General features: G+C 36.0%; 1 protein-coding gene across 2 annotated transcripts in view, besides 1 other annotated feature; it reads left to right on the top strand.

Annotated features, from left to right (window-relative positions):
- RELN (reelin) overlaps nt 1-25,457 on the top strand; it is a 517,870-nt gene that overhangs the window by 300,960 nt on the left and 191,453 nt on the right. For both annotated transcript variants that reach the window (NM_173054.3, NM_005045.4), the window contains exon 11: nt 6,438-6,583. In NM_173054.3, coding sequence (NP_774959.1) covers nt 6,438-6,583 — 146 coding nt within the window. The remainder of the gene's footprint in view (nt 1-6,437; nt 6,584-25,457) is intronic.
- Nucleotides 7,603-7,897: an enhancer, noted in NCBI's record as "tiled region #11588; K562 Activating DNase unmatched - State 5:Enh". NCBI's record gives its function as "activates a minimal TATA promoter and a strong SV40 promoter by Sharpr-MPRA in K562 cells {active_cell/tissue: K562}" and the evidence as "EXISTENCE:reporter gene assay evidence [ECO:0000049][PMID:27701403]".

The raw sequence follows: 25,457 nt of genomic DNA, 5'->3' as shown, positions 1-25,457 counted from the left end.
CTGTCACCCATCTAGTACTGTTGTCACAATTGCTGAACCATCAATGGAGAAAAAATATATCAAATTATGAAAAAAAATGTAATTTGTCCGAAAAATTTAGCCTTAACACAAGTTAAAGCTAATGAAAAAAATCTAAGACAAATGGTGAAAGGAAAGATCACACTCAAGGTAGAATTCACCTTTAAACCTACTTTTTGGAAATATAACCCCCTGACACAGCAATACTATCATACCTAATTCATCTTCCATGCAATGTTCAATTGGGCACCTCAGAAAAAAGGTTTCAGCAGTTCACTTGATGGTTTTATATTCTGACAATATACAGGACAAATAAGAGAAAATCAGATTTACTTTTCAGAAATGTGCTTTGCATTATCACTTTACTGGAAACTATCTAGTGTGTAACTTGAGGGATTTGAGTGGTGGCTTTCTAATGAGGATAAACCTGAGCTCAGTTAGACTTGTGGCTAGCCCATGTTCCCATGTCTTTTTTCATTAAGAATCAGAATGTTAACTATGATTTCCTGGCCAGATTCCAGCATGGTTAATTGCATGCTGTCTACCTAAATTCCCTTTGCTTGGGATGTTCTTCACTTTGGATCGTATTGCTCTTATTGTCATGTTTCCCCCAAGAGGTGGGTATAAGATATTGTAGAATGAGCCAGAATATAATTTGTTAAGCTAATAAGAGGACTTTGGGGCTGAAGGGTTAAATGTAAGTAGTGTGCTTTTCACAATTCCCCCCAATGAGGCCTATTTGTACAGTAATTAATGTGGAATAACATTAGTGAAACATGGAAATGAGCCAGATCGCCATGACAAGAGTGGCAATAGCACAGAAACAACTAATTTTGATAATTTATACAGAAAATAATCATTTAAACAAATATGCAGAAGCTCCCTGCCTAATGCATCTTTTGCCTTATTTATTTATTTATTTGGTCTGAGGCTGACACATTCAATCACTAATTGAGTTAACACAATATTCAGTAGGTGAAATTTATTCCAAATGAACATTAAAAACATAGTTACAGTTTCTATCATCTTTGTACCTAGCATGGCACCTAGCACAATAGCTTGCATAGTGACATTCATTCATTAAAGTAAGGTTTGTTAATGAATGAAGATGGGGAAAAAAATCAGGAGGGAAATAGTGTTTACAAATTTCCTAAGACTCAGCAATCTTTAGGCATGTTCCCTGCAGTATTTTATCTAATGCTCACAATTATCCCCATTTCACAGATGAAAAAACAGAGGCTCGGAGATGCCAAATGGCTTCCCCAAGATCAAATAGCTCTAACTTTCAAAGCCAGGTCTATTTTACTGTAAAACCCAACCACTCCATGTTATCTTGCAGTCTCCCACACTGTGCCTGGCATCTTTGCCCTTAATTTGAGGAGGCAAGTCTAAAAGCCTCCAACACTGTGAAAGTCAAGTTGATCCCCAAAGACAAGGTTAACAACTGCTCTTTGGAATTTTACATTGTTATTCTGCCTCTCATTACTCCAATTCAAATCTGTCACTATTGCCATTTTAGAGTTGTCATAATTATTGCCAAATAATTATACACTTGTCACAAAATATACCATAAATTGAATCTTTAAAAATCGTAGTACAAAGTAGTTCAAATGTGTTTAATGAATCCAGAAATTAATGAGAAAAAAAACACTCCTTAAGCTCCATAAAATTCACTCACCATGGTTGAATCTATTGTGTTGACTAGAGAAAATGCACTTCAGCCCTCCTGCACCTGGACTGTATTTATAGCCAAGTTTTCAGTTTTTTAACTGCCATTAAATTCTTAGAAATTGAATGTGTGGAAAATGATAGAAATTTATTTTGCCTCATGAGAGAAATCGTTCTCTTTCTATTTTAAGTTTTCTTTTAATATAGCATGAAAGTCTATACCTTTAAAGTCTGTTGAACTGGGATGTAGGAAATATGTATTTCTATATGATAATGGGTATAGCATAGTAAAAGACTTGAAAAACACAATAATATGTAGACTATAAATTAGTCAATTTCCAATGGCTGTAGCACACATCTCACTTTAATACAGAAATTCCTATACCAATATATTTTATTTCCAGCCAGACAGTGGCTAATTTATGACTCTGCCAACAATGCCATTTTAATTAATTTTATTCATCTTATTTCTCTTTCCTGTGTTCCTCATATCTCATCTGTTTGCATTGCCTAGATTTTAATTAAAAAACCTCTCCTCTCTAAGGAGCAATCTGAAGTGGCAAAAATAATCACTTAAAATATTACAGTCATTAAAAAATTGGCTGTGGTGGAAGCCATGCATTTTCAATTTTCCTACAAATGATGTTTTAGCTTCCTTTTAAAGCGCACTTTGTATTTGAATTGTCTGCCACCAGCCAGCTTGGCTATCAAAAATGGTCTTCCAGCTGGGTGGGCTGAGTGACAACTCCTTAATGGAGGAAATGGATGGCTCTCTGCTCATGTGGAGGGGAAGGCATACCAGGCAGATTTCATTCCATCTGCCACCAGCTCTCTGCAAGCTGGCATTGCCCAAATGCCCAATACCCTCATTCCAACAAAAAGGATATCGTCAAAGAATAAATGGTAAGGCTACAGATGCCTGAAAGAATCATCAGGGTCATTAGACCCCAGGGAGATCATATTAAGAGGTGCTTCGGTGTTCATCTTTGATGAAAACCTAATAAAACAATGGTAGAGGCAAATGTAAGCACTTTTACAAGTACAGAGGTGAAGTCATTAACATTTTCAGCAGAGTATAGGGAGCAACCTTAGAAAACTGCTATCCTGAGTTGTGGCCAAGGACTTGTTATATTGAAGAATTTGCACTGATGTTTCCTGTTGATGATTTTCTGAATGGCAAATTCTTGTCACTTAGTTACTCTGTGTTCTGCTTCTCAAGTAAAGGAAATCCATTTAGTGGCAAAGTAGGAAAATATTTTTGATTGACAAAGAGAAACACATAAGAGCCATACTTAAGGGACTTTAGAAATCGGTAACCTACTAGTACTTAGAAGCATAAAGTGTATGTCATTGATCAAGGCTAAAATAATGAAACAAGTACAAACAATTATAATTATATAATAATGTACATTAGGAGTGCTAGAAATACAAATAAAAATTTAGAACCAGCTGCAGAATTTATACCTTTATTTTACCCCAAATAAATGCTTAGTAGCTTGATATATATTCACCATATGTCAATCAAAAGCTGTGGCTCAGGAAATCACATGTGATTTAGAATCATCTGCTAAAGAAAACCTAGTAGATTTTCATGATGCTCAAAGTAAAATAGTCCTGAATTCCAAAAATTCTTGTTTTTTTCATATCAAGAGCTCATGTATCTTACAAAGTTACACATTTAATTGGTTTTGAAGTTGTTTAGATTTGAATTGTTATTGCATATAAATGATAGGAGTTCGAATAGGTGTTGAACAAAAATAGCTGGGTATTAAAATCGAGACCAATTTTTTAAAATTCTTTTCATACTTTCAATGAATGTTTCATTTGGATTTTTAACATAGTAGATCGATGTTATACAATGCAAACTTACCTGTAAGAAAAGTGGCATCAGACATCTTGCATTAAGTTTTCCTGTTTTAGGAGAATATTTGATAATCTGCCAAAATTTGGAGGAGGGCTTTTAAAGTTCTAATTAATGATTCAGTCTGCCCTGAAGATGAATGAATGTTTGCAGTATTTTTACCTGTTGTATTGTGGAACATATTCCATGCATGTTACTAAAGGTTTTAAGTTGATCCAAAGAATTTTAATGACTATTCTGATGAAAAATAGTTTAAAATAGATTGAAATGCTCTTCTATTTTTCCATCACCTTTGCTAGGCATATGGAATATAATAGCATGGTTTTGAAAAAATATGTATATTTAGAAATAATGATTATTTTGTAGCACTTAGAAGTTTCAAAATGCATTTCCTCATATATTATTTGTGCCACTAACAACACCTCTAGCAGGTAGATATTATTGGTTCCATTCTACAACCTGAGAAACCGAGGCGTAGAGGGGTTAAATGGCTTCTACAAAAACATGGAGCCATTAAATAGAGAAAATATTTCAACACGCTTTCTAATCCCAATCCTGAAACTCCTTGAGGGATTTCAGTCCTTATCATCTTGATTGTTTTTGGTTTCCAATTTTTGTTCTTTTCCGATCTTAATTTATTCACTTCATGTAGGTGCTGAATTTAATTGAGTTAGATTCTAGGAGAAAGCTCAAGCAATGCCTAACCAAGGAAGCCGTGGATTCCCATTCAGAGCCAGAAATGCAGATAGAAAGCAAGCAAGGACCGGGGACACTATCTCAATCTGAATGCATTCAGGCATAAATTTGTAGTTTGGAGAGCATCTAGGAAGCAGGCTAATTCCAAGACACCAAGCCCGCTGTGCCCAATCCTAAAACAGAATTAACATGAAATTCTAACTTGTCTTGTAATTGATTTAGGCGTTCTCAGAATGAGAACCCTAATATGGCCCCCTACGCTGGCTAAGGCTCCAAAATACAGGGCCTATGATTATCAACTCCTTAGAAAGAAATGGAGACTCAGTACACCCGTTGCTCTCAAATAGCTCAGGAATTCACTGGTTTCACTAAGACCATCCCCAGTTTTACAGGCCCAGTATACTATGGGCTCATATATCCTTAAAAGAGCATTTTACCACTGCAAACCTTGAGAACACTGGGTTCTATTCAGAATGGCAGAGGTAGAAATCATATCTTGATCTCCTTAGCATGGTGAGGAGCAGAGCAAGCCATCTGTAGCTGTGTGGGTTCTGTGCATCTCCAGACCTTGCTCCCTAGAGAGTGACAGTCCCATCTTGCTAAGAGATAGAGAACATCTAGCCACCTCCCACTGAAGGATGGCTGCTTCCTTTGGGTGTGTTGCAGCCTTTCTTTGGTAATATGTCAGTCTATTAAGACTCTAAAGAAGAGAATTTTCAAAGAGCAATACTTCCCTCCACACCCAAAAGTCGCTTATTATGATTTTCAAATATTATGTACCATACATAATTTTATATGCTATACTTTTATAGGATTGGCAGCACAGTAGGTCTATTTACACCAACATCACCAAAAACACATGAGTAATGTATTATGCCATGATGTTATGATAACTATGACATCACTAGGTGATAGAAATTTTTCAGCTCCATTATAATATTATAGGACCACCATTGTATATGCGGTCTGTCATTTACTGAAACATTGTTATGTGGTACATGACTGTATGTGTCTTAGAAAATCATGTTATATATCTTAGGCATACACAATAAATTTATCTTCTTTTAAAAATATAATTACCTTAAAGGGCATTTCCATGTCATTCCCTCATTCATTTGTTGAACTATTTAACAAACATTTTTTAATGCCTGCTATATGCCAGGCACTGTGCTAAGACCTGGAATATAACAAGGAACAAAATGGACATTGTCCTTGCCCTACAGAACTCACAGTCCCTAGGCTTGACTGATAGGTTTTGTCCAGTTGGTTTTTTTCATCTCTGTTTCATTTTAAGAGTATATAAAACTTAAAAGAATGTTTGATGTTTCATGTATAGCATTTCTCTTTTTATTTCTCCTTTTTATTGTTTTAGCTTCCCATGCCCAGCCCCAAGCATCTCTCTATATATGACTTATTACCAAAAAATGTTAATGCAAACTTATAATAATTTTTTAAAGTAACTAACATTTACTATCTCCAAAGTTTGATCTTGCCTTTATTCTCTTCAAGCTGAAAAAAAAATTTCTTTAGAAAAAGTATCACAAGAAATATATTTTCCTTATTTTTTATGTGTTCTTTTGGGGATTAACAAAGTTCATAGTTTCCCAGTTCCTCATTTGGGATAGTATGCACTTTTTAGGTCTGGTCAGAAACTTTTACTCAGAAACTGGTTGAGAATATGTGATTATATCTGGGTTTACTTTGACCTTTTCTACATTGCATGTTTAGATTAGCTGGCTGTTCTACTCATATTCCATTTACAGATAAATTGTGAAAGACTTGAATGGCAAGTAAGAAATATATGGAATATTGAAAAGGTCAATGCTATTTAGCCGATAACCACAGAATTTGAAATACATGACAAGTCATTATCAAATTTAATTCCCACAACAAGGACAGTGGTAAAGATGGGAAATTATTCCAATTGAAATACTCTTGTTTCATACTGAAGACAGAGATGGCAAAGCTCAAATGCCCCCTTGACTCCTTTTTTGTGATAACTTAATAGGTTAGAAAGAAATTGTAATTGAATTAAACAAGGCAAAAAAGAGGTAACAAGCTCTTTTGATTTGAGAGTCCATCATAGAGGAGCTAATATAATAACTTTTCTAAAAACTCTAATTATACATGAGTAAGACAGATACAGCTACAACACCAATTCAACAGCCACCCCGTGCTCTCTTTTCACCTACAGCATAGCTGTCAGTCAGATGGGAACTCCATTTATTTCCATGGAAATGAAGGCAGCGAGTTCAATTTTGCCACCACCAGGGATGTAGATCTTTCCACAGAAGATATTCAAGAGCAATGGTCAGAAGAATTTGAGAGCCAGCCTACAGGGTAAGTAATTGCTATCTCCCATGCTGTGTATGTAGCACTTACATTTATTCTACTGGACGTGTTTTAAATGCATATTGTTAAATGGCGAAAGCATACTTAGATCAATACTGATGATTCTTATCGTAGACAAGCCAAAAGGGGTGCACTTACCCTAAAGATTCTAAGCTTATAATTAACTATTTTTTGCATATTAAAAATTTGTGATTGCAAATGCTTTTAAGTTCACTTGACTCACTTATATCTCATTTTAGTTTATTCAGCTTTTACTGGGAGAAAGGTTTTTTTCCCAATGTTTATAGAATACAAAATCTTTCCATTACTATTATATTGAGATTTTTGTTTGTCTTCCTGGGGTCTGAGATTTATAGATGCTGCTACCTGATTTTCATTGGAATGTGGCTTTGATCTATAAAAATTCTTTAGGGGATAAAATTTGTCTTCCAGAGATTTATAAAGGGGGAATTTGGGACTGAGGTTGAAATAGAGGAGACCTGAAGCTGTGAGCATTGTTTGATGGTAGTGTTTTCTTGCTGTTCTGAGCTGTGTGCCTTCTTCTGGGTCTTAAGTCCCTAAGATATATCCTACTAATTGGGCAGCACTTTCAGAAGTTCAAGTTGAAAAAAAACATTAATAAGATTAGAAACTCAAAACCCATAACGTGATATGGAGGTAAATTTATGTTTTGTAACACTGTGATAAGGATGAATGATATTAACATTAAATATAATTTCATAATGAATATGAAATAGCAATAATTTAACTATTGACTGACAAACTTTTCCATAATACAACATTTGAGGTATAGTCGTGTCACTGTGATCTCAACAAATTAAATCAAAACTGATTAAACTTCGAAGTCCCTGAGTGGCAAGATGGCTAGTATTGCTCTTTTGCGCTCCCTGTCCTGTGCCTTGCCCAAGAACTCCATTCAGACCCAATAAGACTCTTCCATTCTCTCTCCCAGAAGGGCCCCTCTTTTTTAGCTTGTTGTATCCTCAAAGCTTGTCTATGAAAGACACAAAAATTCTTACCCTCAGCCTGAGCCACACTGCCACTGTGACCCTTTGCTGCCACAATGGGGTCTTTCAGTGTCAAACTCTGAATTTCTACTGCAGTTGACCCAGCCCTGCTCCTCCCTGCCTCAGGGAAGTGGCTCAGGTCCAGCCTGTGGCACAGCAGGCTAAGCCTCTGCAGAAGGCTGAGACTCTGAATGACTCCACCCCCTCAGGGCCTATTGACCTCTGCAGGCCCAGCACCAAGGCTCAGTCCTTTAGCCCACACGGCCTTTTCTGACATTCCTGACACCCTGAAGTTTCATGTGCAGTACAGCTCCAATGTCTCCTTGAGACGCCAGAAACCACTGTTTCTCATTTTAGCCTCTAGGACCTCCCCAGGGTCAGGCTGGGGAGACCCTAGAGGGAAAAAAAGAAACAGTGGTTTCTGGTCCCTTCTAGCTCTTCTAAGAACAGTGCACTCCTCTCCCAGATCAAAGAGCTTTGGTGGAGTCCAGAGCTTTGACAATGCACAGAAGTCTTTCTACCTATCTTCTGGAGATAAAGGATCACCAGCACACCAGTTCGTTCTGACTGCTGATAAAAAAAAAAAAGACCAATTCGACTCCCTTTCCTGATTATGGAGCTTGATCACAGATGAGGGGATCCAAATGTTGAGGCACAAGAGACTCATTTACTCCCACGCTTTCATCTCTCCACGCTAATTCCATCCATATATCAGGGATTAAATCACCCTCTTCAGGGAGTCCCAGAGCCCCTGGGGACTCAGATGATTCCCCAGTGTTACCAGCCCCCATCCCATTAAAGCAGAGCTAAAGAGATGCATTTCCTCTCCAGGAGTACCATTCTGATACACACATAAATACCAATATGTCTCTCTCTCCCTCCTCCCTCTCCTTCTCACCCTCCACTTCTCTCTCCTTCTCTGTGTGTGCCTGTATCTTCCAAGAAAAATCAATGTTTTAAATGTAACTTGCTCTTATTGTTTGGGGGGGAAATAAAATTTATTTTTACCTATGGCCTTCATACCAGCTGTTCTCTCTCCCAAAATGCCCCCCATCTTCTTAGTTTATTCTATTAGCAAAGCCTGTCTATAAAAGGACACAAGAAATGCCTTAGTAAAAGAATGAATAGTCCATTCAGCTCTCTATGAGTAACACTTGTGGAGACTTGGTACAAAAACATGGAAAACCCCTTCATGAAGTAAGCTTAGAAAGGAATTGACTTGATATTAGAAGAAACCAAGCATAGTTTAGAAGATTAATGTACTAGTCCAGAAACATAGCTGGCAAAAATTATATATTCCAATTAACAGATCAGACATTCTGCTTTCATAGAGCACAAATAATATAAGAGAATTTTTGGCTACAACTAAATCGATCATTTCCCCCAAACAAAAAAAAAAGAACTAAAACTATTTATGCCTGAAAAAAAGAGCTCTGAAGTCAATATGGACACAGAGGAACATCAGAGGAAATTCCATTAACCAAATGACTCAGGTGCTCTTTGGACATTTCTTTAATTATGCTCTTTGGACATTTCTCAGGACTGAAGATTGACCAGGGTTTTGGTCACAGTTAAGAAGCTGGTACTTCCAGGCTGTGGCATTGTCAGCAGATTTCTGTTCCAATAAGATATAATAATGTGCTTGAGAAAAGCACCGTACCACTCTCATTGCTCTGCAATTAATTTATCTAAATTCTAAAAGTGGCGTAATTCTTCTAGCAATCACACTTTGGGCTTATTTGTGGCTTTTGGCCAGGACGTCAGGCTACACCCCAGAATTACTTCATTCATGTTGTCATCTGGTGGCCTAGCTATGAAGTTGGCATTATGTTATACAGTATAAAAGGATAATGAGAAGACCTAGTATTTTCTGTTTTGGGTGATGATAAAAATGATAGTTTAATCCATAGTGTTTTGTGTGCTTGTATGTGTTGGGGGTTGGGGGGCCCGCCCTCCCCCCTGGTCCCAAATGTTGCTTTGTTGGTCCAGGAAATAATGCTGATATAATAATTTTTAGTCACAGATTGAATTTTTTTTAAAAGTCACAAAATCTAATTAATGTGAAGCATGTTTATCTAGGGTAAGAGCTGACAAAGAAAAACAGATTAAAAATTTGGTAGTAAAATTCTTGATGCGTTCTGTTTTCTCTGCTCAGTTAATCGAATATTTGTCTCCTTCTTTCATCCACCACCACCCACACAAACAATCTATCATGGTAAGCTCATCTGCTAAAACAGACAGAAAACATAGATGGCAAATCCTCACTCACTCAAGGGTGGCCAGTTGAATTGATTGAATTCTACTGCTTTGAGTTCACTTTTTTAAGAAATAAAAAATTATTAATGTGGATATAATGCTTTCATCTCTTTAGCAATGTTTTTGTTATGTAAGAATCATGACAGAGAAAAAAGAGTATGCAGTCCTCTCTAATAACGTTTCCAAAAGACTTAATATGAATGGCAAGGAAGAAAAGAGAGCCAGTAAGCCATTATGGCTTTTCTGGGAAACCGTTTTCCCAATTATCCATATTTTCCCACCATTTGAATTAAAGTATTTTATCTCAGATCACAAGGATGCAAGAGCTGTGTGCCTTTCACATCACTTAGCTGTCCGAAATCCGGTGTTGATAGGTTTATTTTTTTAAGTGGGATTTTAAAGTTGTTTTTTTCTTTTTTCTAAAGAAGACACATCTGTTACTTCAGCAAGGGAGAAACTTTAATAGATACACTGATAATTTATGTGAGTCTTTCTGAACTTTGGCTTAACCTTACAAACACATCATTTAATTAGCAGCTACCACATCTCACTTAGCTGAGGCTGTCTTTAGGTGGAAGGTAGCTTTGTAGAACATTGCTATAATATGGAATTTGTGTATTTGCCTTTCATCCCAAACGTAAACATTATATGCTTTTACTATTCAAAACACCTTTTTTAAAAAAATCTGTTTTACTGCTATTGCCACAATATTCGTACTAAAGAGAAACTCCACAAATGTAATGAATATTAAAAGCTGGAATCAAGACAGTATGCTGTAGTCTTCCCCACCTGCCCGAAATCCTTGGAAATGACGGAAAATGAACAAATGAGTCTATAATGACACTAAAAAACAAGAAAGTGACCTGTAGTTGGACCAGAGAGAGCAGGGATCTGATGGAAGGAAGTAGACAATAGCCCAGAACACATGTTGAATGAAGACACTACAAAAGGCGTCTCATTATTGCTCCAGGTCATGGATGCTGCACGAAGGAATCAGGGTGGGGCTATAAGGACTGCTAAGTAGGTGAAACCCTCACTACACCTAGTTCTTTTTTTTTTTTTTTTTTTTTTTTTTGAGACAGATTCTCACTCTGTCGCCCAGGCTGGAGTGCAGTGGTGCTATATCAGCTTACTGCAACCTCCGCCTCCTGGGTTTCAGTGATTCTCGTCTCTCAGCCTCCCCAGTAGCTGAGATTACAGGCACGTACCGCCACGCCCAGCTAATTTTTGTACTTTTGGTAGAGACGGGATTTCACTATGTTAGCCAGGCTCGTCTCGAACTCCTGACCTCAAGTGATCTGCCCGCCTTGGCCTCCTGAAGTGCTGGGATTACAGGCATGAGCCACCGTGCCCGGCCCTCACTAAGAACAACTGTTGTTGTTCTTTTTATTATTATTATTATTATTATTATTATTATTATTATTATTATTATTATACTTTAAGTTCTGGGTTACATGTGCAGAACGTGCAGGTTTGTTACATAGGTACACACGTGCCATGGTGGTTTGCTGCACCCATCAACCCATCACCTACATTAGGTATTTCTCCTAATGTTATCCCTCCCCTAGTCCCCCACCCCCCACAGATCCTAGTGTATGATGTTCCCCTCCCTATGTCCATGTGTTCTTATTGTTCAACTCCCACTTATAAGTGAGAATATGCACTGTTTGGTTTTCTGATCTTGTGATAGTTTGCTGAGAATAATGGTTTCCAGCTTCATCCGTGTCCCTGCAAAGGACAGCAACTCATCCTTTTTTATGGCTGCATAGTATTCCATGGTGTATATGTGGCACATTTTTTTTATTATGCTTTAACTTCTAGGGTACATGTGCACAACATGCAGGTTTGTTACATATGTATACATGTACCATGTTGGTGTGCTGCACCCATTAACTCATCATTTATATTAGATATATCTCCTAATGCTATCCCTCCCCCCTGCTCCCACCCCATGACAGGCCCCGCTGTGTGATGTTCACCACCCTGTGTCCAAGTATTCTCATTGTTCAATTCCCATCTATGAATGAGAACATGCAGTATTTGGTTTTCTGTCCTTGCGATATTTTGCTGAGAATGATGGTTTCCAGTTTCATCCGTGTCCCTACAAAGGACATGAACTCATCATTTTTTGTGGCTGCATAGTATTCCATGGTGTATATGTGACACATTTTCTTAATCCAGTCTATCATTGTGGACATTTGGGTTGGTTCCAAGTCTTTGCTATTGTGAATAGTGCCTCAATAAACATACGTGTGCATGTGTCTGTATAGTAGCATGATTTATAATCCTTTGGGTATATACCCAGTAATGGGATTGCTGGGTCAAATGGTATTTCTAGTTCTAGATCCTTGAGGAATTGCCACATTGTCTTCCACAGTGGTTGAACTAGTTTACAGTCCCACCAACAGTGTAAAAGTGTTCCTATTTCTCCACATCCTCTCCAGCACCTGTTGTTTCCTGACTTTTTAATGATTGCCATTCTAACTGGTGTGAGATGGTATCTCACTGTGGTTTTGATTTGCATTTCTCTGATGGCCAGTGATGATGAGCATTTTTTCATGTGTCTGTTGGCTGCATAAACATCTTCTTTTGAGAAGTGTCTGTTCATAGCCTTTGCCCACTTTTTGATGGGGTTTTTTTATTTTTTTCTTGTAAATTTGTTTGAGTTCATTGTAGATTCTGGATATTAGCCATTTGTCAGATGAGTAGATTGTAAAAATTTTCTCCCATTCTATAGGTTGCCTGTTCACTCTGATGGTAGTTTCTTTTGTTGTGCAGAAACTCTTTAGTTTAATTAGATCCCATTTGTCAATTTTGGCTTTTGTTGCCATTGCTTTTGGTGTTTTAGACATGAAGTCCTTGCCCATGCCTATGTCCTGAATGGTATTGCCTAGGTTTTCTTCTAGGGTATTTATGGTTTTAGGTCTAACATGTAAGTCTTTAATCCATCTTGAATTAATTTTTGTATAAGGTGTAAGGAAGGGATCCAGTTTCAGCTTTCTACATATGGCTAGCCAGTTTTCCCAGCACCGTTTATTAAATAGGGAATCTTTTCCCCATTTCTTGTTTTTCTCAGGTTTGTCAAAGACCAGATGGTTGTAGATGTGTGGTATTATTTCTAAGCGCTCTGTTCTGTTCCATTGGTCTATATCTCTGTTTTGGTACCAGTACCATGCTGTTTTGGTTACTGCAGCCTTGTAGTATAGTTTGAAGTCAGATAGCATGACGCCTCCAGCTTTGTTCTTTTGGCTTAGGATTGTCTTGGCAATGTGGGCTCTTTTTTGGTTCCATATGAACTTTAAAGTAGTTTTTTCCAATTCTGTGAAGAAAGTCATTGGTAGCTTGATGGGGGTGGCATTGAATCTATAAATTACCTTGGGCAGTGTGACCATTTTCATGATATTGATTGTTCCTATCCATGAGCATGGAATGTTCTTCCATTTGTTTGTGTCCTCTTTTATTTTGTTGAGCAGTGGTTTGTAGTTCTCCCTGAAGAGGTCCTTCACATCCCTTGTAAGTTGGATTCCTAGGTATTTTATTCTCTTTGAAGCAATTGTGAATGGGAATTCACTCATGATTTGGCTCTCTTCTTATCTATTATTGATATACAGGAATGCTTGTGATTTTTGCACATTGATTTTGTATGCTGAGTCTTTGCTGAAGTTGCCTATCAGCATAAGGAGATTTTGGGCTGAGACAGTGGGGTTTTCTAAATATACAATCATGTCATCTGCAAACAGAGACAATTTGACTTCAGCTTTTCCTAGTTGAATACACTTTATTTCTTTCTCCTGCCTAATTGCCCTGGCCAGAACTTCCAACACTATGTTGAATAGGAGTGGTGAGAGAGGGCATCTCTGTCTTGTGCTAGTTTTCAAAGGGAATGCTTCCAGTTTTTGCCCATTCAGTATGATATTGGCTGTGGGTTTGTCATAAATAGATCTTATTATTTTGAGATACGTCCCATCAATACCTTGTTTATTGAGAGTTTTTAGTATGAAGGGCTGTTGAATTTTGTCAAAGGCCTTTTCTGTGTCTATTGAGATAATCATGTGGTTTTTATCTTTTGTTCTGTTTATATGACGGATTACATTTATTGATTTGCATGTGTTGAACCAGGCTTGCATCCCAGGGATGAAGCCAACTTGATCATGGTGGATAAGCTTTTTGATGTGCTGCTAGATTCGGTTTGCAAAGCAGCAGTACACCCACTTCTAAGCAGAGACTTCTGCCCCCCAGGAACGAGCAATGAATGCGGACATGAGGAATGGAGAAGCAGGGCACTGTGCCCTCATGGGAATCCTCACCCAAGGGCACATCTGCTCCCAGTCAGTGGGCTTTTTTCCACTGAAACTAAGAGAGAATAGCAGATATGAATTTAAGCAAATAATCTAAATCACGAAATCTAAGGAAAACCACCTCCATGGGAAAAAAAAAGAAAAAAGAAAGCATTAAACTAAAGGACTAGGAATCAAATAAGTAAAAGGAAGTAACAGATTAAACCAACAGAGATTGTATAACAAGTATAATTAATATCCTCAACAGGATAAGGGCGTACACTGCATTTGTGAAATTAGAACAAATTTTATGAGGAAGAAACAATTAGAGATGCGAGAAATGGAAATATATGATTGTTGAAACAAGTTTAATGGATTTTTTTCCTGAATATCAGTATAGGCAGAGCTAAATAACAAATTAGTGAGCTGGAAATTTGAGTATTGAAATGTTACTTCATTACAGAAAAAGAGATGTTAAGTATGGAGAGAAAGTTGCACTTCCAACATTAGAAACAGGAATTAAAGAAGAAGCCAGAAGGAATACATGGAATGCAATATTCAAATAAATAATTGAGAGAAGTTCCCAAGATTAAAAAAAGGAGAAGAAGAAGGAGGAGGAAGAAGAGGAGGAGGGGCAGGGAAGAGGAGGAGAAAGGTATAGTGGCTATGAGTGAAAGTGTTTAGCAAGATGAATGGAAAAGTAGCCAGTCCTAGATAATCAGGGAGAAATTTTAGAACACCAATAAAAGAAAATTCTAAACCCTCTAGGTAAGATTTATTGTACTTTCCTTGGTAGCATTAAGCATTTTTTTAAAGGAAGCAGTTATCTTGAAGTTCTGAAAATTATGTGAGTTGTAAAATTCCTTCTCCAGCCAAATATCAAGTATTAGGAAAAAACAAAAACTGTTATAGACACACAGGATTCAGAAAGTTTACCACCCTCTCTGAAAGATTTACTGCAAGATACATTCCTGGAAACTAATCCAAGAGGAAGATGAGATATTCAAGAAAGAGTAGTAAACAAGTAAAAAAGTAAAACTTTTAGTTCAGTCTAAATAAGTATGGATTATTTGAAAACTTTAATAAAAACTTGGAATTAAAACGCAGAAGATTGCAACATGAAAAGTATAGAAGGTGGCTGACAGGAAAGGGAACAGAAAAAGGAAATAAAATACTGCCCAAGTTCTTAACCTGTTTAGAATGAAACTGTAGATCTTGGTTAACTCTTAATGTTAATAGAAAACTTTAAATAAAATATAAATATGTGTGTTAAAAAATAGATAAGCCAGATAGAGGTTATATAACTTCTAAAGCATTAGGTTAAAATTAGAACAAAGAAGACAGTTCAGTAATGTCAGGAAAGTGGAAAAAGTAAACAATAAAATACAGGGTAAATAGAAAATAGAAAACAATTTGTCAGGAGCCAATTCAAACATACCAGTAATGTGATAAATTAGAGTGAGTTATATTCACTTATTAAATGAGATTCTCACAGTAAGTTTTGAAAAATAAGCTGTATATTTGCCCTTATGAGAGACTTAAACTAACATAACCAAAGAAATAGAAAGTCAAAGAGGAACTAATATACCAGACAAATGTAACAGAAGCAGCAAGGAGGCATATTAAAATAAGATAGAATTCAGGTTTCAGCATTAAAAGACCAAAAAGGGATATTTCATGCATCAGTACATGTAGAGCACTTTGCATAAAGCATGGCACATAATAAACAAGTTAAAAATTAGTTGTTATTCAAAACATAATCACTATCAGTAATATGATATGGCCAAAGTGGTGCTCAAAAGAAAATTATGCTAATATTAATTAATTAATGAGATATAAAAGGTTAAACACAAAGTTAAATAGCCAGTGAAACCTCAATCATTCTCTAAACAAGAAATATATTATTGGGAAAAAAAATATTAATTAAAAGAATTGGATATGCTTAAAAACCACACAAGTGCTAAAATGGATCAGGGTAAACTTGTTGCAAGCTGTTAAAAGAGATGTACTACTTCCTCCTTTTTCTGATTTTCTTTTGACCTAGGTGCTAATATTGCTTTCTTTTTAGGCTAATTGTTTTTATAATTTAAAAATAAAAACAGTAATTTTTCAAATGACAAGTATGTAAGTTCTCTATGCCGGAGTTGTTCTGGAGCTCCTTCATAGAAGTCCTGAGCCCTTCTTTAATTTACAGCACATTTCCACGCCATCTTTGCTCTTGGCACTGCCATACTTGAGTTGGTTAATAGGCCCCCAGCCCCATAGTAACTGTCCATGTGAGCATCCAGAATGCAGCAACTGACTCCCTATCCTTGTTCCCAAGAGAGAGAACCAATGAATCTAACACATTACCAGGAAAAAACAAATTTGCATATAGAGCAACAAGAACAATCTCCATTGTAGCCCTTTTGATGTAAGTTGATACTTTTATTAAAAATAGGCTGAAATTTCTTTAGAGCTCTTCGGAACAGTTTAAGCATCTTATTTTCCACAAATTATCCCCTCTTAAACTAAAATTTTAATTCATCCTATCCAGATGAATTGTTACCTCTGATTTAGAATATTTTCACAAAATGCTCATAAGGCTATAGAGGGATTTTATGTAAGCTTGCAATTCAAGGTAAATGAATTGAAGGTAGTGTGGCAGTCTGAGTTAACATTATATTAAGTGAGTTTTGTTTTTACAGTCATGTTCACTTTTATTAAAGTAAAACAACCACTTAAATAACATAAATAATAAATTTATGGAGCCCAGATACATTGTAACTAAAATCTTAAACAGTGCTAAAGACCTACAGGTAGATAAAGTGCAGACAGTTTATCTTTTGCTAAGTATATCCTTGATTAAAGATTGCTTGAGCAATAACACTTTGCATACTGTACTGCAACTTCATCTAAGGTTGTTTATTAATTATAGCATGAAAAAAGTAAAAACACTCATTATAATTTAGAAGTTCATTTGAATTACCACTTTGACTTATTTTAAAATGAAAATATCACTACATTTTACGGGAGGAGAAAAGGAAACCAACATTTATTGAGATTCTGTAATGTCCCAGGCAATACATCATTTTCTCTAAACAATCTCTAGTCTAGGTTATATTAGTGTCTTATTAATGAGAAAGCTGGGTGCTTTCTAACCGTTCTGAAGCCCAATATTCTTTATTAGTGTTGTTCCAAAGAGAGTGTAAATAAACATGCATGTCATAAAAACCTAAAACAAAATTAAATTCAAGAGGAACCAATTGAAGAGAAGAATCTTTGAAATGTAATGCATTCAGGGAAGGCTTCAAATTGAGCTCATCCTTTTACCTTCACCTAAGCTGTTCTGCTAGAGGTAAAACCTATAAATGCAACGATAGGTGGAGAAGGCTTCATTCAAAGTATACATCTTGCTAGACTTCAGAGGACTCGTACTAGAGATAAACCTCATGAATATAAATGAATGTGGAAGGTCTTCACCTATGGCACATCCCTTATTAAAGAGCAGAGCATCCATCCCAAATATAGACCTTATAAATGTAATGAACTTTTTCAACCTCAGAGAATTTATATGAGATTTTTTAAAAACCTTATGAATTTGGTCAATATAGGATCTTATAGCCAGGCTTTATTCTGGATCTTAGTTCATACTTAAAGTTGCCAACTTTAGGTGTTTTAATATGTTCTGGATAATATAAATTAAAAATTCATAGAAAATATGAAATGTTCCATTACGTTTAGTGACTTTTATGCTAATATTAGTAGGGAAAGGATCTGGCTAAGATATTATATCTCTAATTCCTATGTTCATATTCTTAATATTTTCATCAACCTATAATGAGATAATTTAAATTTTCACTCTGAATTATAATTCATATAAACTGAATGCCTGACTTTTTCCTGGAAATTATTTGCTTACTGCAAAGAAAATGAGCAAAGTAAAAGTCTAAAATTTCCCCCCCATGCTAATTCCCATTCTTCACTGTTAAACTGTTGGCATATAGTCATTCAGAAATTTTTCTATGATGATACCAAAAAAAAACCCGCAAAACACTAGAATCACATTTTGCATATTATACTTCAACTTGATTTTTCAAAACTTAACATATTATGAAAGTCCCTTCTAGTCAATAAATATAGACCTTCATTATTTCACAAAGGCCAGTTAATCTAACTGAACCCCATGTTGACAGACAAAGAATATTGTAGTAAACGTTCTTGTGTGCTTGTTAAAATATTTCTGAAAGGTAAGTTCCTAAAAGGAAAAGGAAAACTAGATAATCAGATGTGTATGCACACATATACATACTTATGTAGGTATATAATTTCAGTTTTGATAGTTATTGCCAAGCTACCCTACCAAGAATGCATATCATTCTTAAAAGTATTGAAGTGTGGGCTGGTTAAAATATAATTAATCCTAGTTACAAAGCATTCCAAAACACCTGATAGAGAAGACCATCAGCTTTCCAGCTAAGACACCTCTTTACATTATTTTTTGCTTACAAAAATATTACTCTTTTAATGGCAGAAAAAACAGAAAACCTTATTTTAAAAATATAAATTAAATATTATTGTGACCTTGCTATCTCTAAGGAACAGAGTTGCCTTAAGGCATTTTATTGATTAGAAAACTTTTTCTGTGCTCCAACTTCACCTCACTCTATTTGTAATAAATAATAGATACCACTGTATTTATAATAAATAAGGTAAGGGCTTTTTAATTTTAGAATTAATCATAAAAGAATAAATATAAATTGCTGCATTGTAGAGAGCTCTCTCCCTCAGGCAGACATTCCTTCAAATGCACTTCACATAGAACTGCATTTCCTTGGGGAAAGCATAATTTAAACCACAGAGAAGTAACATACCTTTGGAGGAAAATTGCCATGCCATCCGAGATGTTGACAGAACTATAGAGCTCCTCAAATAACCACTACTGGTCTCAAAGATTTGGTTATATTATAATTTTACTTCATGTAATTATTATATTTGGAGAGAGTCAGGAACTATATAATTTTTGTAACAGGAAATGACCACAACTTTGTGACCTTGTAAATTGGGACTTTGAAGTCCGGGGAGTAAAGACTCTACCTGAAGTCCCCCAGTAGTTGATAGAGCTCTGGGATCTCCTTAAGGATACTTGGCCTCCAACCATGTTTGAGCCAGTGTTTACACAAATTCATGAAAGAATGAGCTTGTGCTATAACAGGCTCCTCCTGAATTTTTAATAAATGCAAAGTAAGTTATTCAAAGCAACAGGACTTTTGCAAAACATGAATCTTGTAAAAATTCAGTAAAGCAGATTTATCTCTGCCTTTTTCTCTTCAAAGTAGACTAAACTTCCCATTTTACTTGATTATAAATATTTGGATTTCTAAAGGAAGTAACTTCACTTTTGTTATCTTCCAACAGTTAGCGTGGGAGAAATAAAACCTAATTGAGAGAAAAAAATGGATATGTCAGACTTAAATAAAGATTAAAAGTTATTATACGGTCTGAATCATATCTCACACAATGTTGTGGTAGAAGTGATAATAACTCATTTAAATTAATCTAGAAAAGTTTTTCATTTACGACAAATAAAAGAAAAAGACTACTAATCTCATTTCTCACTTAAATAGAAGGTTCTTTTAGTCCATGAAAATTCTTTTTCAATTTAATTTTTCACTTTAATAATACTCTAAAGCAGATAGATATCAAAAAGGAGTCATCATCTGCATCATTTATAACCTTAACTTGCTTTGTGGATCAGTAGGCTGAGTGGTTTAATTGGGATAAATGGAGCAAGCAAAAGACCAATGAACCAGTGTGAAATTTTCATGTATGCGTCAAGAGAGGCTCCTGGTTAATTTGCGAATGATGCAATACTATTAAGAGCTGTTTCAAAAAGTTACTATTCCATGTGCTTGCTCCTTGAATGATTGATGTAATCTGTTAAAATTTTTTTAAAAGAATTTTCTAATATTTTTGTCCCAAATCTATTACAAACTGGGATGGTTCAACCTAATCATCCTGGCATACATAATATCCTTTTTACAACTGTAAGAAAATCAGAGCAAATCAAGAAAGAAAAGATCTAAATTTTAGAGCTGAACAGGTGGTTGGCCTTAGGCAAGCCACTTACCCTTGTGTGTCCCAGTTTCTTCCAAATGTAGACCAGTTAATTGTGTGAATAACAAAGGCCAAATTAGACATGGCAAGAAATTAAAGAGAAATTGGTTTTAAAATGTCAAATATTTCAACTTTTTAAATATTAAACACAAGATCAAAGTATCAAGCTTCTCTCATAAATTATACAAAGTATACAATTATACATATATAATTATATGTCATACCTTTTGTTTTACTTGAGACAGAGTCTCCCTCTGTCACCCAGGCTGGAGTGCAGTGGTGCAATCTCAGCTCACTGCAACCTCCCCCTCTCAGGTTCAAGCTATCCTCATGCCTCAGCCTCCCAAGTAGCTGGGATTATAGGTGTGCACCACCATGCCCGGCTAATTTTTGTATTTTTAGTAGAGACGGGTTTTCACCATGTTGGCCAGGCTGAACTTGAAATCCTGGCCTCAAGTGATCCGCCCACCTTGGCCTCCCAGAGTGCTGGGATTACAGGCATGAGCCACCACTCCCAGCCTGTAATGTATTTTAAAATAATTCACATATCTCCTTTGATATCTGTTGCCAAATGTGTGATATTATAGATATATGCTATTTGTTTGGTGTTCCTAAAAATTATTTCCCTGGATAGTCTTTGCTTTGAAAATAGAATTAACTAATTCTAAAGTAAGCATACATGATAAACTTTGTGCAAGGAATAAATATACATGTTTTCAAAAACTAGAATGATTAAACATTTTACCTAAAATAGCTGTAATTCTGTTTGCATATTCATGACTTCCAACAAAGTTTGACTGCTTAATGAAATTTAGTAAAACTACTGTCCATATATTGAGAACTCAGCCTGTGGCTTAAATATATTGCTTAGAGACACTTTGATATATAAGCTTTGGATGAAGAAATTATGGCTAATAAACATTATATTTATTTTCCTGAAAAGAAACATATCTTCATGCCTTAGGATAATTATTAATATTCAGTAACTAACAATTGTTTTTATTTATAAAATTGCTTTTTATATAATAAAGTCACCAAGGATATTTAGAAACAAGAAAAAAGTTAATAACCAGACTACATTTAAAAATTGATTATTTAACATGTTAAAATAAATTGAACCTACTCTAAAAGAGAAGCTTGCTGATTTGAAAGATGACATCGTCCTTTAATTTGTTAACACTCCTGATGACATAATTAAATGAGAGCCTAAAATGAACTAATTAGCTTACCTCTTTTAGTTCCCCATCATTGCTAATAGTAATCAGCCAGCTGAAAATTTGAAGCTGTGACAACAAGGCTGGCTGAGCTCATGCAATTCCTTTTCCTCTGCAAATCCATAGAAATGTTGGATCAAGTATGATAATTTTCTTCAATATGTAGCCCTAGGATAGGGGAGGAAATGAGCAGATACCTAAAACAAAGGGAAATTAAAAACCTGAGTAATAAGCCTTTAGCTGAAACTTAGGCAGTTCAGGATGGACTGAACATATGTAATCGAAGGCTGAAGATTAGAGTTAAAAATACTCACACAGGATCTTTGGCAGATGACAGATAGAACTGATACTCTTGTATAAATACGGGACCCTGAAGAGCTCCTTCTCCATAAAGAAGTAATTAGGATAACAACTTCTCTCATTGATTCAAGTGTGAAAAAAAAAATCTCCCAGAAGAATGGAAACTCCAAACAAATGTGAAATTCACATTCATTCCACCCAGGTGGTGGGAAAATTCTAAACTGAGGAATTAATGTAAAAAGAAATTCAGGACCAGGGAACCTCCAAGATGCTCACAAACGCAAATGCAGAACCCCTTTGTAAAAATATTTCTTCTACACAAAGTGTGTAAAATTAACACTGGAAATAAGTCCACTAAAGTTGAGCTCACAACAAGAATTATGATCTGTGTGATTTTATGATTCACCAAAAAGGACAGTCATCAGATATGACAAACAGAAGAATAAGTGCATTCCAATTGAGATAAGAGAGATATGAGATAAATATGATTAAATGATTTAAAAGATTTTTTAAATCTAAGTCATTTTGAAAGAAGAGGGTACTATGAGAAAAGAACAAGCAAATATTAAAAAGAATCAAAGAAGTGGGGCACAGTGGCTGACACCTGTAATCCCAGCACTTTAAGAGGCCAACATCGGTAGATTGCTTGAGCCCAGGAGTTTCAGACCAGCCTGGGCAACGTGACAAAACATCATCTCTAAAAGGAAAAATACAAAAATTACCTGGGCATGGTGGTGCCTCCTTGTAGTCTCAGCTACTCTGAGGAGAGCCTGAGGTGGGCGGTTCGCTTGAGCCCAAGACGTTAAGGCTACCATGAGCCATGAATTGCACCACTGCACTCCAGCCTGAACAACAGAGCAAGACCATTTCTCAAAAAAAATAAATAAATAAAAAATAAAAAAATCAAAGAAAACTTTTTAAAATGAAAAATACAGTGATAGAAATTAAGTATTAACTATAAAGGTAAAAATATAGAAACAACTGAAGAGAGAATTAGTATACTGAACTAGAGACAGATCTGAGAAAAAAACACATAATGCAATATAAAAAGAAATAAAGATTAATGAGAGAGTGAGAGACACGGAGAATAGAATATGACATTTCAATACAGGTCCCATAGAATTTCCAGAAGGAATATAGAATGAATAGAGGATAGTTAATATTTGAAAAGATAGTGACTTACATTTTTCCAGACCTGATTAAAGGTTTGAATCCCCAAACTGACAAGGTACACCAAGTTTCCATAGAATAAATAAAATAAACCTATACCTACATACACTGCAGAAAAATTTTAGAATACCAAAGACAAAAAAGCAACCAGAGAGAAAGAAAGATTATTTACAAAGAAGCAACAATTCAATAGATAACTTCTTATCAGTAACTAAAGAGACATCGGATTCTTGTCGAGATCCAAGTAGGGTTTTTAATAGAACTCAACAAAGTGATTCTAACATTCATTAGGAAGAGTTAACAAGGGCAACAGTAGCCAAGACAATTGTGAAGAAGTGAAAGGTGTGGCTGAGGGACAGAGGGAGCTCAGCTATCAAGAGCTATTTTACATATACAGATTTTATATATATATATATATATACACACACACACACACACACACACACCATATGTATGATATTTAAATTGGTTTGGACACGGAGATGGACATATAGACTAATGGAGGAAAAAAGAGAGGCAAGTTAATTGTAGAAACAGACTCACGTTTATAGGGGATTGTTATGTGACAGAAGTGGCATTACCAATAATTAGGGCCAACGGTTAACAGTTCTGGAATAAATGCCTATCTGTATAGAAAAAACCATATTGGATCTCAAACTCATTCCTTACCTCAAATCAATTTCAGGTTCATTAAAACCACCTAAATGTGAAAAGCAAAGCTTTAAAACTTTTAGAAGAAAATATAGACGAGTATCTCTATGATTTGAGGGTAAGGGAGAATCAGATAAAAAAGGCACAAAGCATAGAGAAAAGATAGATAAATTCTACTATATTAAAATTAAAACTCATCCATACATCCAACGACACATAAACAAAGTGAAAAAAAGTACAATACAGATAGTCAAGAAAAGATTACTACCTGGAATATATAAAGAATTCAAATCATAAGAAAGTGAGAGAAAGAAAAGAGTGATCCTAATACAAAATGGACATAAATAGGCAACTCAAGATAAGAGTGACCCCAACTGGCCAATAAACATGAAAATATATTTAGCCTCACTACTAATCATGTAAATGCAAAGTTGAGATAAAATTTCATAATCATCTAATAGGCCAAATTTTAAAAGCTTGACAAAATGAAGTGATGGCAAGCTTGTGGGGAAACAGGAACCTTCTACCCTCCTGGTGGAAACATAAATTTATCCAACAATTTTGAAGAGCAATAATGAAGTACCACGTTGCCCAGCAACTCCACTTCTAGATATATACTCTACCAGCCTTTCTCAGCAGAGATTCCTTCGTGATAACCCCAGAACACAGAAAATGATCTGGCTATGCCCTCAATTCTCCTAAAGCTGGTGCACCTGTGATTCTAGAGACAAAGGAGAAAAAGCAATTCACTAATATAATGGGTGCCTTGGGGCATTAGGACTCATTTCTCTCACAGACACCAGTTAAGAAAGGCTGATGGGGAAATTCCCACATGCATATGTAAACACACAAGGACCTTTTATATAGCATTGTTAATAATAACAAAAAAGATAGAAATGACCTAAATGTCTATCAAAAGTTTATGGTCATTCCCCCAAACACCAGTTTATGACTTCTGTTATAGCCAACATGTATTGGAAGGTTTTTGTTTGACTAGCTTCAGAGTCCTCTTGAATGTGGTGTGCTATAAATACGTGTTCCCCTAACCATGGAGCTGTCTTTGACCTTCTGCTTTGTTTTCACTTCTCACTGACACAACCGGGACTTGGGTAGCAACAGATGGGTCCGCCTTGAAAAGGTGAGGGAAAAGGAATCGGACAGACTGGTAGCAAGGGTAGAGAAAGAGTATGAGTAAGGGAACAGGCACCTGGGGCCATAGAGGTCAGTCCTCTATATAAGACCATCCATTTAGGCCTGCGAATCTTTAAAAGAGATCTAAACCTGAAAACCTCTCTGAATATTTTGGGCATTTAAAGTGTGTGCCTAGAACCTAGGCCAACAGAGAAGCTAAAGACCAGGTGGTCATTGCAGGGCTTGGATCTAGACAGGCAGATGGTGTAGCAAATATCTAAGGGGAAGAGGAGGCTGAACCATCAGAGCTATGACTGTAAGTTGATTCAGTACCAAAGCCTAAGCCTGGCAGCAATAGTAGCAGTAGGCATTAAGTACAAGTACAAGGGGACTTTGAGTGGAAGTGGTGGTCAGACCTGCCTGACGTGTGGTCGGGAGAAGAAGAGGGTGTTTCCCAATGTGCCAATTGAAAAGGCTGCTTTCCAGTTTGTGCCAATTTGTGCTAATGGCATGAATTGTCTCAGAGGACAGGGCAAGGATGTGACTAGAGAAAGCAGAGGAAAGTGAGGACAGGATACAGTCAGGAAACTCTACAGGTTTCATTTATTTTCTGAAGATGGAATCCCTTAATCCCGCCATCGCTCAACAAGAATTATTGAGGATCTGCTGGGCATTGAACACTGTGCTAGGGTCTCAGGACACAAAAATAAGACGCAGATCCTGTCTTAGGAGCTGACATATCAGGAATAAAGAAAGGCAT

This window comes from Homo sapiens, chromosome 7 (assembly GCF_000001405.40).
Source record: "Homo sapiens chromosome 7, GRCh38.p14 Primary Assembly".
NCBI lineage: Eukaryota > Metazoa > Chordata > Mammalia > Primates > Hominidae > Homo > Homo sapiens.
The sequence above is the reverse complement of the archived record's forward strand: the minus strand, read 5'-3'. Positions and strand labels throughout refer to the sequence as shown.